The sequence below is a fragment of the Homo sapiens genome, chromosome 4 (assembly GCF_000001405.40).
Source record: "Homo sapiens chromosome 4, GRCh38.p14 Primary Assembly".
Taxonomy (NCBI): domain Eukaryota; kingdom Metazoa; phylum Chordata; class Mammalia; order Primates; family Hominidae; genus Homo; species Homo sapiens.
In genome coordinates, this window is record NC_000004.12 from 62,502,663 (window position 1) to 62,519,827 (window position 17,165).

The 17,165-nt window shown below is 36.6% G+C and overlaps 1 pseudogene, besides 1 other annotated feature; it reads left to right on the top strand.

The window, feature by feature from the left end:
* Positions 7,695 to 8,907, top strand: HMGN1P11 (high mobility group nucleosome binding domain 1 pseudogene 11; annotated as a pseudogene).
* Positions 12,941 to 13,442: an enhancer, noted in NCBI's record as "NANOG hESC enhancer chr4:63381321-63381822 (GRCh37/hg19 assembly coordinates)". NCBI's record gives its function as "activates a minimal SCP1, AML or CMV promoter by ChIP-STARR-seq in primed H9 embryonic stem cells {active_cell/tissue: H9 hESC(primed)}" and the evidence as "EXISTENCE:reporter gene assay evidence [ECO:0000049][PMID:30033119]".

Below are 17,165 nucleotides of genomic sequence, written 5' to 3' on the forward strand. Positions count from 1 at the left end.
TTGCTGAGAAAACAAAAAAATAAAAAAGAAAGAAAGAAAACGAGACAGAGGTACCTTCTGCTAGTTTTTGCAAAGACCCCCCCCATTACCTTTATGAATTAGCAATTGATACAGCTAACATAGTGCCTGGCCCTTTTGTCTGGATCTGGGTCCAGGACATGGGTCTCTGTTTTCAGAGCAAGAGGAACTTCATAAAGGGTTATGGCTCATGGCTTCTCTAGAAGGTATTGTTATCTAATGGCCAAAGTTGGGCAAAATTTTTAAATTAACAGATGTGAAATCAGTGACCAAAAAATTATAGAGTAGGCTACATTTCTCAAAGTTTTTGCCAAATATTTCTAATGCCATAGAACAATAAACCAGGGACGTCTAGTAGACTGCTTGGTGCTCACTGCTGCTCCATTCTTAAAAGTTTATGAAAATCTCTGTAGAAAAGTGATTTTCCAAAGAAGTGGTACAATACAAAGTTGAAATTTTCAATAAATAAATATTATTACTGGAAAATTTAGTTCATTGTGTCATGAAACAGTCACTGACTAACTCATTAGTCTTTTTTGCTATGTCACGCAGGGGCATGCTCAGTAAAGAAAGATAACTCATTCTTTTCCTTTTTTCTTAAACTATTAACACCACAATTTTTGTCACATGTAATTTAAGGTGAAAAACTACTTATATTACCAATGATCAGTTCTCTTTTTCCCGTTCTTAAACTTAATTCCCATTATAAGGATATTGTCAAATAATCACAGTTTTGCTTACAGTTGTTGATGTGACTGTTCAGTCTTGAAAGATAACTGCTAAGTAATTCGAATTTGTTAGCAACTTGCTAGATAAACAATGAATCCTTTCTCTTTATTCTCATGTTTACTCTTTGCCAGAACATCACTATTTTTCTCTTTGAAGAAAAGCAGCAAATAAATTTTGACCAGTGCATTTCACATGCCAAGTAATGATTTATCTCTTGTATGAAAAAGTTTATGCCAATTCAAATTCCCTTATAAATATGGCCCAAAAGTGTTTAAATTATTATTTCTTAATTTACCATGTTAGCACTCATTTGAAAATGCTGAAAAAACTAGGATAAAAAGTATTTAAGCTGAAAGATGGCTTGCTGTGTCTGGGTTCCAGATATGAAATGGGTGCAGTGAACCCCACTCTTATATTTTTACCTGTTATAGTTTTAGCGCCATATAAGTATATATCTCTATTTTATCCAGTTGAAATTAAACTACTATAAATATTTAAAAATTTCATTTTAAGTAATTTCACAATTAATTCTGTCTTCACAAATAATTTTTTATACATGGAGAAACAAGACAAAACTTCAAGACAACCAAAATGCTAACTATTTCTAAAATTTCAAGATTATTCTCTAGGTGATTTCAGTGTTTCAACTAATTATTCAAAAACATTTTTAAGCATTTTGAAATAAAGGATTTTTTTCCACCTTGGCTTTCTCTTTTTGAGCAAGCCATATAGTATATACACACACATATGAATGAATCTATTCAGATATATATGTTCATATATAGATATATAGGTATATCTATTCATATATATATATATATTTATTTATTTATTTTTTGAGTCGGAGTTTTGCTCTTGCTGCCCAGGCTAGAGTTCAATGGCACGATCTCAGCTCACCGCAATCTCCACCTCCCAGGTTCAAGCAATTCTCCTGCCTCAGCCTCCCAAGTAGCTGGAATTACAGGCATGCATCACTACACCCAGCTAATTTTATATTTGAGACGGGGTTTCTCCATGTTGGTCAGGATGGTCTCGAACTCCCGACCTCAGGTGATCCACCTGCCTTGGTCTCCCAAAGTGCTGGGATTACAGGCGTGAGCCACCGCACCCGGCCCATTCATATTTTTAATGTAGTACTATGCTTCATAAAATTTCTAAATATTTTATGAGCTTATTCTCCCAACATGACTTTAAAACTGATCTTATAAAAACCTTCATCTATTTTTATTTGCTTGTCATAGGTAGAAATCTCAGTTTTCTAATTCAGATGTGTAATAAACAAAAATTATTTTTCTAAAATTGAATTTATTTTCTATTTTTAGCCCTATTCTGTCAGAATGTCAAAACCATAATCCCAATTATTATTACTCAGTCTCCCCTCTCCTTTTCAAGGAACCGTGTCAAGGATCCATGTGTCTTACATAGTCTAAAGACATTGAAGGGCAGGGCTGGGCATCTAGTCCTAAATGTACTCTGTCCTCATTGACTTCTATTGAGTCACATATTGTCTTGCTTGTTTCTTAGTGATCAGTCTGTACATATTGCTACTAAATTATTCTGGGCTGTCATCTAATGCATTAAATTCAGCAAATCTCTTTCTTCTTTAGTACCACTCTTAGGCAAAGAGAAATTCTTCTGTTGCTCCCACAACAAATTATGCTCATGGACTTTCTGAGCTCTATTAATCTCCAATCTGCTCAGAAATTTTATGTAACTGTCTTTATTTTTGCTCTGTTTTGTGTTGCATGGATTTCATTCTGCTGCCTCTGTGCATTCTGGGACACAAGGAGCTCTGTGATGCTTCTCAGGTTCTACTTGTATAACACATACTTCTGCCACCTTTTTCTGGAGACTCACTACCTTGTTAAGGTGCTACTGGGAGACAGGGTACAATTGGACTATGGTCTTAGTTGCCTCAAACATGTCCAAGATAAATGGATGGAATAAAAATAACAAAAAATACAGAATAATCTTGATTGGCTATTTACATGCTTTTAGATGCATTTTTATTTATTTATTTATTTATTTATTTTAATATGAAGTTATTTCCATTTTCCAATTGCAGGCTTTTCCTCTTAACTGGGCTTTGTATTCTATCTCCTATTTTCTGAGGCATTTTTTTTTCACATTTAACCACTTTTTATTTACTGACTTATTCTGTTGATGATGATGACGATGATGACAATGATAGTTGTATCAGTCAGGACAAAGTCAGGAAGACAGAACCCATGCCAGGTAGTTCAGTAGAGGAATATAACATGGGAACCTACTTGTAAAAGTGAAAAATGAGATGAAAAACCAAATGGGTCATAGTAAGACAACCCAGAGCTTAGCAACAGGTGAAAGGTGTTATCATCCCTATAGCTGGAAGTACAAATGGGACACAATGATGCTTCTCAAGTTCAGAGACTGAAAGTCTTCAAGGAGAGCTCACACCATGGAGAAGGGACAGGTTCTGTTGAGATCTAGCATGGAACAGACAGAAAGAGAGAGGAAGAAATATAAATATCCTGATTTCTCCTTTTCTTTCTTCCTAGTGTTCTGCTAGTGCATTCAGGATCCTGAAACAAATTAGAAGTCAATGGACAAGGGTCCTTGGAAATGCAGGAGTCAGACATTTGTGGTGACAAGCAAAGCAATGGGCATCAGGGAATGAACCCAAGAGTAAACAAATTAATCACAGGTCCAATAGCCAAAGGACAAAAACATATGTAGTCTTTACCAACCTTTGATTTAGATACTACTATTATTCCCACTTTAGAGGAGAGAAAACTAAAACAACGTCATGTTTAAAAAAAATGGTAATAAAAATAAAGAACAGGTTGTTTAGGGGGCCGAAGGAAAAGGAGAGGTGTGGAGAGAACATTAATTCTTCTTTTAGATTGATTAACTTGTTAAAATCAACAGATACCCCTTCAGTAAATAACAATGAAGTGAAAACGATCAAGCAGCTCCCATTAAAAAAAAATTCCTAATTCTTAATTTTTCCTTGATGTTCTTCTATCATTCGTAATCAAACTTCTTGAAAGATTTTTATAAATTACTCATCTTTAATTCTTGTATTTTCACTAACATTATACATGGAAACATTTTATAATTCTTCCACTCCATTGGAACAATACTGGACAAGGACCCCAGATGGTTGTTCATCATGACACGCAGTGAGGGCTTTTCATGTTTCATTCCATCTTATCTGACCCTTCTCTGTTTTTTCTTGGCAAATTTCTGCCTGTTAACATAAAACACACTAGAAACTAAAAAAAAAAAAAAAAAAAAAAAAATCCAGGCAGAAAGTTGGAGAAAGTAGAAAAAGGAGGCCACATGCATACCTTCTAATGAGCCTTCTAATGATGAAGACACTACACAGTTTCTATTTATGTCCCTTTGGCCAGGACTAATTCATATAGCTACATTTAGGTTCAAGGAAGGATGAGAAATAATCTTTTTGCAAGGTGGCAATGTGCTTATCTAAAGAATGGAATTCTGTCATTAAAAATAAGGATTAAATGTATGTTGTATGGTTACTAGCAGTCTCTACTGAAGAGGTTATGTTTGATACATTGAATTGTCTCCATAAAATATTAAGTAGATCATTAATACTTAACATAATGGAGTTGAAAATATAGAGAGAGTCCCAGGTGCAGTCACTCATACCTGTAATCCAAGCAATTTGGGAGGCCGAGGCAGGTGGATCACTTGAGACCGGGAGTTCGAGACCAGCATGGCTAATATGCGAAACTCCATCTCTACTAAAAATACAAGAATTAGACAGCAGTGGTGGCACATGCCTGTAATCCCAGCTACTTGGGGGGTGAGGTGTGAGAATTGCTTGAACCCGGGAGGCGGAGGTTTCAGTGAGTCGAGATTTCACCACTGCACTCCAGCCTGGGTGACAGAGCAAAACTCTGTCTCAAACAACAACAAAAAAAAGTAGAGAGGGCATGATACATCATCTCAGAATGCTGGAAAACAAATGCACTAGGGAGACATCATAGGAGTTCAAATATACTTGTTTTGTGCTCATCTGAAGTCTTTGATTTTGACTTTAATGTGAAAATGCCCAGTTGTATGATTTTCTTTTTCTTAGAATATTCTGGTTCTCAATTACAGGGAGAAAAATGGTATAAGTTAGAATTCAATAAGAATTTTCTTAAAGTACACAATGGTGGTAAAAAGGGCAAAAGAGATGAGTATTTGCAAATGAGTGATTATAATGGCATACTTTAATTAAGCTGGACAGTAAAAGAAACAAAACCAGGAAAGGGCCAATATTTTGGAATATTTGTATATATGTAATGAGATATCTTGGGAATAGCACCCGAGTGTAAACACAAAATTCTTTAGTTTAACATACACCTTATAAACATAGCCAGAAGGTAATTTTATACACTATATTTTGATAATTTTGTGCATTAAACAAAGTTTGTGCATGAAACAAAGTTATAGCAAGAGAGTTAAAGAAGATTTTGATAATTTTGTGCATGAAACAAAGTTATAGCAAGAGAGTTAAAGAAGGGTTGAATATTGTAATGTCTGAAGTCCACATTTTATATTTGATTCAGTTTCTAATGAAATCAAAGCTGAGTGTGGGAATGGGTATGTAAGGTAGAGATGAGAGTTCAAGAAACAAAGATATGAGGGTGTGGCCACTTCATCTATGTTAATGTTGAAATAGCTGATAATGATAGTGAGGTGGGGAGAAATTCTTTGCCCTGAGAGAAATCTTCAACAAATGATAAAGAGTAGTAGCTTAGCAGAAGGCATTAAGACATAAGAAAGGGTGTCACTCTTATAGATGGAGGGAAAAGGCTTTAGCATTAATTTTCTCAAAAGTATGGGGGGAATGAATTAATTGGATACGGCAGTAAGAAGAAAGGAGGACACCTATCACATCACATTGTCCTGAGGTTTATAGGCTGAGAAAGAATAAAAGGACTTTCTGGTAAAAGCAGTTCAGCAGAAGAATTTACACAAAAGGAAGCCAGGATTAATGGAACTCGGCCACTGATAAGAACATTCGGAGAAGAGGTGGAAGTTACAGGGGAGTTTGCTGATCACAAATTGTAAGACTGAAGTGGATGAGAGAGAGTTGAAGATGATTGTGTAGATGAGAGAATGTAAAGAATGGTATAGGTAATGGTGATTATCAGCATATATAGGCACATGAGTTATCATGGCCTCAGATCTCAGTCTGAAATGAGGCTGAGTCAAAACACCTGGGTCCTGGTGCTTTCCAATGATTTATTAAAGAGCAGCTCTTCAAAGTTTCCATTTTTGATAAGTTAAAGAGGAAGGTTTGTTGTGATTGCTTGCTTTGCTTTATTAGAATTCTTCATAGCCTTCCTCCTACGAGATTATAAACTCAATGGAGTCAAGGACCCACTCAAGAATGTGTTACAGTGCTATTCCCAGGAACTCGCATAGTCCCTGGCATGACATACTAGGGGACCTACTGAAAAATTTGCAGGGGCCAGAATAATAATACCAGTTGAGTATCCCTAATATGAAAATCCGACATCCAATGTGCTCCAAAACCTGAAGCATTTTGAGTGCCAACATGATGCCACAAAGTAGAAAATTCCACACCTGGCCTCATGTGACAGGTTGCAGTGAAAACACAGGTGCACAATGCACAGTTTATTCAGTCTGCTGTTGTTTATAGTTGCTGTTGTTTAACAGCTGATAGAGGTATTCTGATGATGCTACTGTGCTGTTTAGTTACCCCGAACACATTATTTTTTCACTGTATTAATGATATGTCATATTTTTTACTTAAACACCTACATGTGAATAAGAAAATGATTGCTTATTAATAGCATGTAAGTTCAGAGTCAGGAGTGATGGTGATGCCAAACAACCGCAGATTGTCCACATGGGTGGCTTAGATGGTGACACTTTTGCTTTCTGATGGTTCAGTGTACACAAACTTTGTTTCATGCACAAAATTATCAAAATATAGTGTATAAAATTACCTTCTGGCTGTGTTTATAAGGTGTATGTTAATCTAAAGAATTTTGTGTTTACACTCGGTTCCTATTCCCAAGATATCTCATTACATATATACAAATATTCCAAAATCCAAGAAACCCTGAAATACTCGTGGTACAAAGCATTTTGGATAAGAAATACTCAAGCTTTTTTGCTCTTTTTTTTTTTTTTTTTGAGAGGGGGTCTCACTCTGTTACCCAGGCTAGAGTGCAGTGGCTAGATCACAGCTCACTGCAGCCTTGACCTCCCAGGCTCAAACGATCCCCCACCTCAGCCCCTGGAGTGGCTGGGACCACAGGTGCATGCCACCATGCCTGGCTAACTTTATTTATTTATTTATTTATTTATTACTTATTTATTTATTGGGTCTTGCTTTGCTAACTTTATTTGTTTATTTACTTACTTATTTATTTATTTATTTATTGGGTCTTGCTTTGTTGCCCAGGCTGGTCTTGAAGTCCTACGCTTAAGTGATCCTCTGGAGCTTCAGCATCCCAAAGCATTGAGATTATATGTGTGAACCACGGCCTAATACTCAACCTTTATAAGCAGTTGAAGTGGGCTGGATTTTATCTTCTTTATTACAGAAAGTCTTTGGATATTTAATTTAAATTAAAGAAGGTAGTTGAAATTTAAAAGGGAAAATATATTTTTCCCTTTTTCTTAAAATGTGATACTTTATTGGTCTATCTTTTGCTTTTCAATTCTTTATAGACATGAAGGTATAAAACGTATTTATTTGGAGATAAAAACGGTGGCAGGACAATTGAGAGAGGCAGAGTCTCACTGGGGAGTTGTCAGAGCTGTGGTGAACATCACATACCCTTCTCTGCCTCCTTTGTTGAGCTGATCTACGCAAATGCAGGCCCTGGTTGTTCAAGGGAAGACTGACATCCAGACTTGTATATGAAATGTCCTGATTTTGAAATGTTGGTTCAAGTTTTCAAAATGTAGTTAAGGCAGTGGGTCTCAGCAGCTCGGGCGGCGGGAGGAACTGCAGCCCAGCTTCGCGAAGGCTCTAGGTGCGCCCCCGTCCGCAGGATCCTGGCACATGCCCTCCCCGCTGCCAGGATGCCCAAGAGGAAGGTCAGCTCTGACAAAGGGGCCGCCAAGGAAGAGCCCAAGAGGAGATCGGAGCGGTTGTTAGCTAAACCTGCTCCTGAAAAAGTGGAAAAGAAGCTGAAAAGGGCAGCAGGGAAAGATATATCTTCAGACAAAAAGGTGCAAACAAAAGGGAAAAGGGGAGCAAAGGGAAAACAGGCCTAAGTGGCTAACCAAGAAACTGAAGATTTACCTGCAGAAAACGGGGAAACGAAAACTGAGGAGAGTCCAGCCTCTGATAAAGCAGGAGAGAAAGAAGCCAAGTCTGATTAATATCATATACCATGTCTTATCAGCTGTACCTGTCTCCCTTCTTGTACAATCCAGAGGAATATTTTTTATCAACTATTCTGTAAATGCAAGTTTTTTAGTAGCTCTAGGAACATTTTTAAGAAGGAGGGAATCACACCTCATCCCATTATTTAAGTGTAAATGTTTTTTTTTTAAGAGGTGAAATTATTCGCTGGTTGTTTATTTTTTGGTACAACCAGAAAATACTGTGGGATATTGAATTATGGGAGGCTTTGGCTGTCTTGAGTGTCAGCTTAACATTCCATAGCTGGGGAGGTTGGTTTTTATATCCTATAATACAGAGCAGGTTAAATGGCAATATAGAGTATGTCCTGCATTTAATGTCTTGAATATTTTAAATTACTTCTATTCCTATGTTTTGTAGTAGAATTATTTCCCAAAGAAAACTACTCCTTGATCATGGCTCTCCCTGTGAGAAATGTGTGCACTCTGTAACATCTTTGGTTGTGGTAGTCCTGATTTCCTAATAACTTTGTTACTGTGCTGTGAAAGATTAAAAATTTGAATATGTCGTGTATATGCTATTCAGTTGTGAATTGGTGGGACGTATTTAACAGCTTATCAACATGTGAAGGCACTGGTACTTGATAGCCTTTAAGGAAAGTTTGCTTCCAAATTTTAAGAGGGAAAGTCACTGGAACAACTTTAAAAAAGAATTACAATACATGGCCTTTTAGATTTTCGGTACGTATGTTAAGAATTGTGTACAAATTGAAACGTCTGTACTGGTCCTCAACCTATAAAATCTCAATGATGAAAGAAAAAAATAAAAAAATAAAATGTAGTTCAGGCAAAATATATTATGTATGATGGTCTTGTTTGAGCTCTCATCCTCAGTCTTGTCTTCTTTTGTGTATTCAATAAATATTTATTGGAAATAATGAAAAAATGGTTTGAAGAAGACAATTTATTTAACTTACATTAAACATTTGTACTTAAAGCAGATCCTTCTTTAAATCAAGAAATTGTACTATAAACTTTTCTTTAATAATTTCGTATTCAGAAGTTGATTATTTTTCAACTTCTTAAAGGTAACATGATGCTATATTCAAAACTTTTGTTTTACCCAGAGTAAAGCAAGTGTAAGAATGCAGAATCATGTCTTTATTTGAAATTATTTTTATGCATACTTTAGAATTTGTTGTGAACCCTTCCTAAAGATAAAAATAATTTATTCAAAATTGCTTTTATTGAATAAAATAAATATTTATTCAATATTTATTCAAAATTGCTTTTGAAGACCTTGTATGGCTCATGAATTATTTTATATATCAGATTTAATTATTTCCAGTTTAAAAAAAAAACAATTTCACAGTAAGATTGCTCTTCTCTTGGGGGTTGTAATCATTGTGTAAGGAACACCGATAGTAAACTGTCAAGGTTTCTGCTAGTTATGGTTGTAAGAGTTAAAGAAAGAGAGAAAAAACATGAAATTCAGCTTGACAGTTAGTTAAAGACACATTTATTTTAGAGAAAATAAACCTGAGAGGGTCTTCTGGTCGATTTCCGTCAGGAGCACCTTCTCTTACAGACTAAGAGTGTATATTGGTTTTAGGGTGAGGGGGCTTATCACAAGCTTGGAATGTTTCTGTGTGAGGGAAGCTTATGGCAGAGTTGGAATGTGTCTGGGTAGAGGGGAGGTTATCTTGGGGCTGACATCTTTCCGGCTGGAGGGGGTTATCTTGAGGCTGAAACCTTCCCTGCCAGAGAGGGGTTATTTCTGGGCTAGCATGTGTCTGGCTGAGGAGGAATTTGGAATGTTTCTGGTTGGAGATGTTAGTTGTGGTTTATTTTTGTGCTGACCTTAGCTGATACCTCTTGGATTTAGGGGGTGTTTGATTAAGGTGAACTTTAGAATGAGGGGCTTGTCCAAGATGGTGATGCTCCTACTCTGTCAATGGTAACCTTTAAAGTATTTTCATCTTGGTTTTCAAAATTGTCCTTAAAATATCTCCAATTCAAGATCTCTGATCTCCTCTTGGGCATTATTGAGACTCCTCCCAAAACAAACAACAACATAAAGCTTAAGTCAATACAAATATATCTATTTCACATAGAAATCTATACACAATTTTTTTTTAAAGTATGCTTTAACTCAGGCCGGGCAGAGTGGCTCATGCCTGTAATCCCAGAACTTTGGGAGGCTGAGGCGGGTGGATGGCTTGAGGTCAGGAGTTTGAGACCAGCTTGGCCAACATGGTGAAACCTTGTCTTTACTAAAAATACAAAAAAATTTTTGTATTTTTATATTAGCTGGGCGTGGAGGTGTGTGCCTGTAATCCCAGCTACTTGGGAGGCAGAGGCAGGAGAATAGCTTGAACCTGGGAGGTGGAGGTTGCAGTGAGCCGAGATGGCGCCACTGCACTCCAGCCTGGGTGACAGAGTGAGACTGTCTCAAAAAAAAGAAAGAAAGAAAGAAAGAAAAAAGTATGCTTTAATTCTAGTGTAGAAATATATTTGAATTTATAAATATATTTTGAAACTCATTTTTATAAGTGTGGACCAGCATGCAAATAAATGCTAGTATTCTGAGCGGGTCCTCTTTCTATGTGAGAAAAAGAGGGAGAAATTGAATATATACACCAACAATGGCCAGACCATATGTAAAAATAAAATTCTAATCTGCAAACTCTGTAACAACTGGTTCAGGAAGCCAAACCACAAACTGTGCAAAATGGTCATGACTTGATCAGTAAATAACAGCTTCCCTAATTTTGCTTCTGGTTCCTGTTCGGAATTAACCATAGAGAGCCAAATAGGTACCTTCACTTCTAGTTAGCCTGCCTCCAGCTACCCAAGGCCAACAACCTACAATTTCACTTTGAAGATTTCTCACTCCCCTGCTGGACTTTGAATCTTTGCCAAAAGCAATTGATGGTGGCTGACTCCCTTGCTTTATGGCAAGCTCTAAATAAACAGTCTTTGCATATTCTCATTTGGATGGTTTTAATTTATTTTCATGAGAGTTATATATTTTTGTTGGTTTTTTGAAAGGGGTGAAAAATGGTTCGTTGGTCTAGGAATTAAATTGACATAAGACAGATTAACAGGAGAAAAGCAATTTTATGTGTATATGCACAGAAGTTCATACGAGAAAAGGCCAGTTAATTGAGGCTTATATAGCATCCTGAGCTACAGAAAATAACTGTGGTTTGGTGCTTCTGGAACGTGGTGAAGGCAAGTTACAGGAAGGTGAAGGGAGGAAGATGATGAATAAAAATTGCATTGTTATGAAGATAAAAGTCTTTCAGGTGATAAAGTTATCTCAGAATAGATTTTTTTCCTGGTACTGATATTTTTACTAATGAAAAATTTAAAATAGATGTACATTTCCTTTACAAAGGGGAAATTTATATTTTAGGCAGTTGAGGGGGAGGTAAAGAACTTTTACTGTGTTGGCTGGTTCTCAATTTTTTAAGCTCAAAATAACTAATGTGCCAAAATGGCATATTTGGGGATGATATGTTCTGAATTCCTTTAGATTAAAATAAATACAAGTAAGTAAATGGACAATGGGTGCTTACTCTGTCCCTGAAAATCTATGAGATAAAATGCAGGAGTATGTTATATATGGTAATTGTCAGGCCTCTGAGCCCCAGCTAAGCCATCATATGTCCTGTGACCTGCACGTATACATCCAGATGGCCTGAAGCAACTGAAGATCCACAAAAGAAGTGAAAATCGCCTTAACTGATGACATTCCTCCATTGTGATTTGTTTCTGCTCCACCCTAACTGATCAATGTACTTTGTAATCTCCCCGACCCTTAAAAAGATTCTTTGTAATCTCCCCCACGCATAAGAAGGTTCTTTGCATTCTCCCCACCCTTGAGAATGTACTTCCTGAGATCCACCCCCTGCCCACAAAACATTGCTCCTAACTCCACCGCCTATCCCAAAACCTATAAGAACTAATGGTAATCCCACCACCCTCGCTGACTCTCTTTTTGGACTCAGCCCACCTGCACCCAGGTGAAATAAACAGCCTTGTTGCTCACACAAAACCTGTTTGGTGGTCTCTTTACATGAACACATGAGACAATAACATGTTAGTGTTTTCTAAAATGGTAAAAAAAAAAAAAAAAAAAAAAAAGAAGAAGAAGAATCTTTACTTCTTCGTAAACAAATAGGGAAAGAATACTTCCAAAATGGGTCTGGGTCAGTCTTTTGACTACATAGCTTTTGTTGTTTTTTGAGATGGAGTCTCGCTCTGTCACCCAGGCTGGAGTGCAGTGGCGCGATTGGCCTCCCAAAGTGCTGGGATTATAGGCGTGAGCCACTGCGCCGGGCTCACGACACAGCTTAATAGGACATTCAGTGAAGGACTTAGATTTCAAGGAAAAAAATATTTTTCATTGACAGTACTGGAAAGATGGAAATGTGTTTGTTGTAAGAGGGAAAAGAATTCTCAATTGCCTGTTTAAAAATCACAAATTACCACAATCCATATGACCTTCCACTTGTCCAAATTTAAGGAGAATCCTTTTAAAAACAGCAATATTAACTATGGTAGTGTGTGAGCTCCAAGCAGGTTTATATTAATGATGATGATGATATTAAAAACAATGAAAAAATAATAGTGGCTATTGTTTACCAAGTGTCTACTGTGTATTAGCCTGTTTTTAAATTCATTTTCTCATTTAAATTTCATAAAATTCTTGCGAAGTAGAGGTTTATCTTTGTTTTAAAAATGAGGAAATAGAAGCTTAGAGTGTATAATGAAATCCAGAATTCACCTGACTAGCATCAAAACTGAAGTTGAAACACAACTCTCAATGACTTAAAACATACATCCTTTCCTTAGTATTTCTAAGATTTTCAGATTCTTTTAAAATAATCATCTTGACAGATATTTTTAAAAAGTCAAGTGTGAATGGGTTTTCTAACAAGTCTTTTTGATATTACTATGTTATGCTTTTAGTTTTGCTTTAAGGCAGTAACAGTAGGAAATTTAATATTTTTATTCCTTCATTCAATATGTATTAAGCATTTAATCTGAGTGATGCACTCTCCTAAATATAGGAGATGAAAGGCAAAAAATCTCTTGCATGCCAATTGCTTAGAATTCAGCAGAAGAGGAGATTCTTTTCCTTACAAAGAAAACAATAGAGCTCTGCATGCTTGATAAAGAATAGGGTGGGGGTAAAGCAAATATTTCAGAGAAAAAGTGACAATCCTTCCTCCTTTTTATTCCTTTAACACGTATTTGCTGATAATCATGTATTTATCAAGAACAATTCTAAATCCTGAACTGAAAGGGGAATAATGCATATTTTTCAATTTAAATTGCTTACCGTTATAGAAGAGCAATGCACATACAAATAAAAAATGACAGTGTTAATGTTTAGTATAAATGCTTAAAGGTGTCAGGGTAGTGGAGAAAGAGATCCTTTACTAAGAGTGTCAAGGAAAACATTTAAAATGAATATGAGTTCACTAGGTTTCTAAGCGAGGGAAGGAAATTTCTGTGCAGAGGGGCAGCACACTCTAGGTATTTTGGGGTGGTTTGTTGCACTTGTTATAGTCAAAATTGTGGAAAGATGTATTAATAAATGCCCTGTTGGATCATCTGGGTGCCCAACATACTTTTTTTCAGCTTCATTACTTCCTTTTGGTGATCAGAATCAATAATCTCTGCCAGGCTGGTGACTACTTTCCTTGGCATCAGGAGCTCAAAATCATTGAGAAACATGTGTAGCTTAAATTTTATTGACACTATTGATAGGCTATCTCTTAGAAGAATACCTGAAGAATTCTAGAATCTAATGTTGTAGAATAGGAAGCATGAATTCTTTCAGTGGGTTGATGGAATTGACAATGAGCAAAGTCACTCCTAACTCCATCCTTTGTCCTAGACGTATGTATTTCATTTATTGTGGACATGGCACCATATAATGGCTCTTGATTTAGGGTGAAAACCACATCTGGAGTTTGGTGTCCCATCCTTGCAGAGTCACATCTCCAATTTAACACCTCAGCTGTATAATCAAAATGCTGTCTCAATGCTACCTTAGGCTGGCAGCCTCTGAGTGGTGCAGTATGTGATTGGACCAGTGTATCCTGTGTCCACACGTCCAACATCACACCTCCTTTGCTACAGAATGGCTCTTTGAGTTTGAGATGATGTTGTGCATGATGATGTGACATTTGTTTAAATATTCTGCAAGTTAATTGAGGCTCTGTGGATAGGAAAGAAAAACCTAACCAAATATTTATGAACATTCCAGTTAAGAGCACTCACTGCTCTTTCCAGGATTGTAGGGTTACAATGTAGTTAACTTGCCACCAATTGGTTGTTTGGTTTTCGTAAGGGATAATTTACCTGAGAATGAACTGGATTTAGCACTGAATGTCCTCTGTCCTGGCAAAATCCTCAGGTGTAGACATACTGGGATTATTGGTCACCCTAGACAGCACTTTATTAGGGGCTCTGATTCAGTCTCTATTGATGGCATGTTGAACATTGGGCAGTAACAGTAGCTAGAAGAGCCTTGGCAAGTAGGAGTCCATGCTGTAGGGCCCATGCATATGCTATATCTTCATCATCATAGATTGTCTATTCATAAGCCCAGTGTGTCCTCAATGGGGTAGTTAATATCAGAAGCTGGCTGATATCAACTGATGTCAGAAGGTGGCTCAGATCACTTGGCTATGTCATTATATCAATTATTCTTTTTAGGCTTTTTATGTGGTGATTGTTCACTCATGGACATCAACATGCAACTTTATGCTTACTTTCATAGTCATGCTTTAGGCTTACTTTTGTAAGTTCATCCATATGCCTTTACCTTAAACTTCCTTACCCATGATCTTTCCCCCAAGTCCCAATCAACAATATGAGGCAATCAACCCACTGAGATGAGGCATTTGCCAATGCCCTTAATTCTATATGCATTCTTCATTTCCAGATGCCTATACTTGAAGCTGTGTTCCCTTTAACTTTACTTATTTTACTGTATCAGTTATTTATTTCTGCATACCAACTTTCTCCCCAAATGAGTGGCTTAAAGCAACAAGCATTTGTTATTTTTCATGGTTCTGCTTTTTGGCTGGCTGTTCTGATGATCTAGATGAGGCTTGGCTGATCTCATCCTTTATACATCTGTGGTCAGCTGGTGGCTTTGTTGGGCTCTGACTTGCCTGGGATAACCTTGGCTTGCATAAATTCATTCTCTTCCACATTCTTCTGCAGGAGAACCTGCATGTTAACGTAGCAGTGGCAAGGCTTCATGAGAAAAAGCAGATATATTCAAGACCTTTTCAATCCTCTGCTTCCATCAAAATTGCTTCTGTGCATTGGCCAAAGCAAGTCATAATGAGTCAAGTTTAAGTGTGGGAGTATACTGTGAAATAAGTGGATACAGTGAGACATGAATAATTAAAAAACTGTTCCATCTCAGGTATCAATGTCTTTGTCAGTATTCAATTAAGAATACAGAATTATTGCGAGCTGCATTGGAAATGAGAGGCTTAATATAGGAATTAAAGCGATACAAATGTGGGAGGAACTGGAGAAGTGAGAAGCTGAAGGAACAGAGAAATAGCAAACATCTTAGCCCAAATTACTCATATGGGTGGGTAAGTGATCAGTAACAGCTTGTGGGAATGTCTGAGAAGGTAAGATCATCTGCTCATGAAAGTGAGATCATGAAGAAGGTGGTCATGGAGGCATCTGTGAAAATCACCACCGTCTGTGGAAGCTGCTGCCAAGTATGTGGTAGTAGTTTGGGGGCTGATTTTGGTTGGTGAAATCAGAAGCTGGATAAACTGGTTGCAGAATAGGAGGGGACTGGGGATCAAGTAGAACCCACCACTGCTCTCATGTCAGTATTCAAAAGAATATAAAACAGTCTACTCTTCTGTGTGTCTCTCTCCTATATAGTGTGCCTCTGTGTTACAGTCATGTTAGCACGAACATTCCTTTTTAGATTTACTAAGTTAACTTACATTTTATGTATTCAGTAAACTTAATGCATTTCTCTTTTCCAGCCTCATTAATTCACTTTTCTCCATCTTCTTTTACCTAGTTCTCTCAATATTTTCATTCTATTGCCTTAGACACTGCACCCTGCACTTCTGGGACAGCTCAATTTTCCCAAAATTTTGTCATAATTTTCTTTCAAATAAATTCTTACCTGACCTGCAGCCAATTCCACTAGGTCCTCTTTATTATAAATTAGATATTAATCAGTCAATAAATTGAAACTTCTATCAACTGAGTGACATTTTGGAGATCCTATGTCTTATAACATAAGGCTGATTTTAACATGAGTGGTACAGACACTGTTGGATGCTGGAGAAGATGTTTTGGTATAAGTAGGGCACTGGTCAATTCTTAAGTAATACAATGCATACAAGCCATGGACTCATAATTGGGTACATCTTCTGAAAAAATTAGGTTGTAATTTTTAAAAGTACATTTAGTAATTAAAATAATACTTTTAATAGGCTGTCACATCAGGGATTAACATCAAAGATAATTACTCCTTGTAGGGAAATGTTACAGGCTTGTACTGTGGTATAGCTGCAGACACATGAAATCATGGATGAAGCTGGCCATTACAGGATATCATGGCAAGAGAGTAGAAAACAAAAGAATGCTTCTTTTGGATATATCCCTTTTGAATTTTCAAAAGTGTGTTTTCTATGATGCAAAACACAGAATTGTGAATTTATGACATACATATTTCAGATTGTGATATAAGAAACTTCTCTACTACCCAATTTAATGCATTTATTGCTGGTGGATATATCTGTTATTATGTTTCAACAAGGTACTCACATTTGTGGTGCATTTTTTATTCTCACTGCTAGTACTTGACTATTTGTAACAATATTAAATGATTAAGCTACAAAATTTCTTTAGCATTAATAAATTGTATTAGGAGTATGCATTTGGAAGAATAAATAGTAAAGAACCCAGAGGTATCAACAACATTCCAAATAGTAGAGCAGAGCCAAAACAAATACAGATTTCCCCACGACAAATAATTTTATTCTTGTGTTTTGAAACTGCAA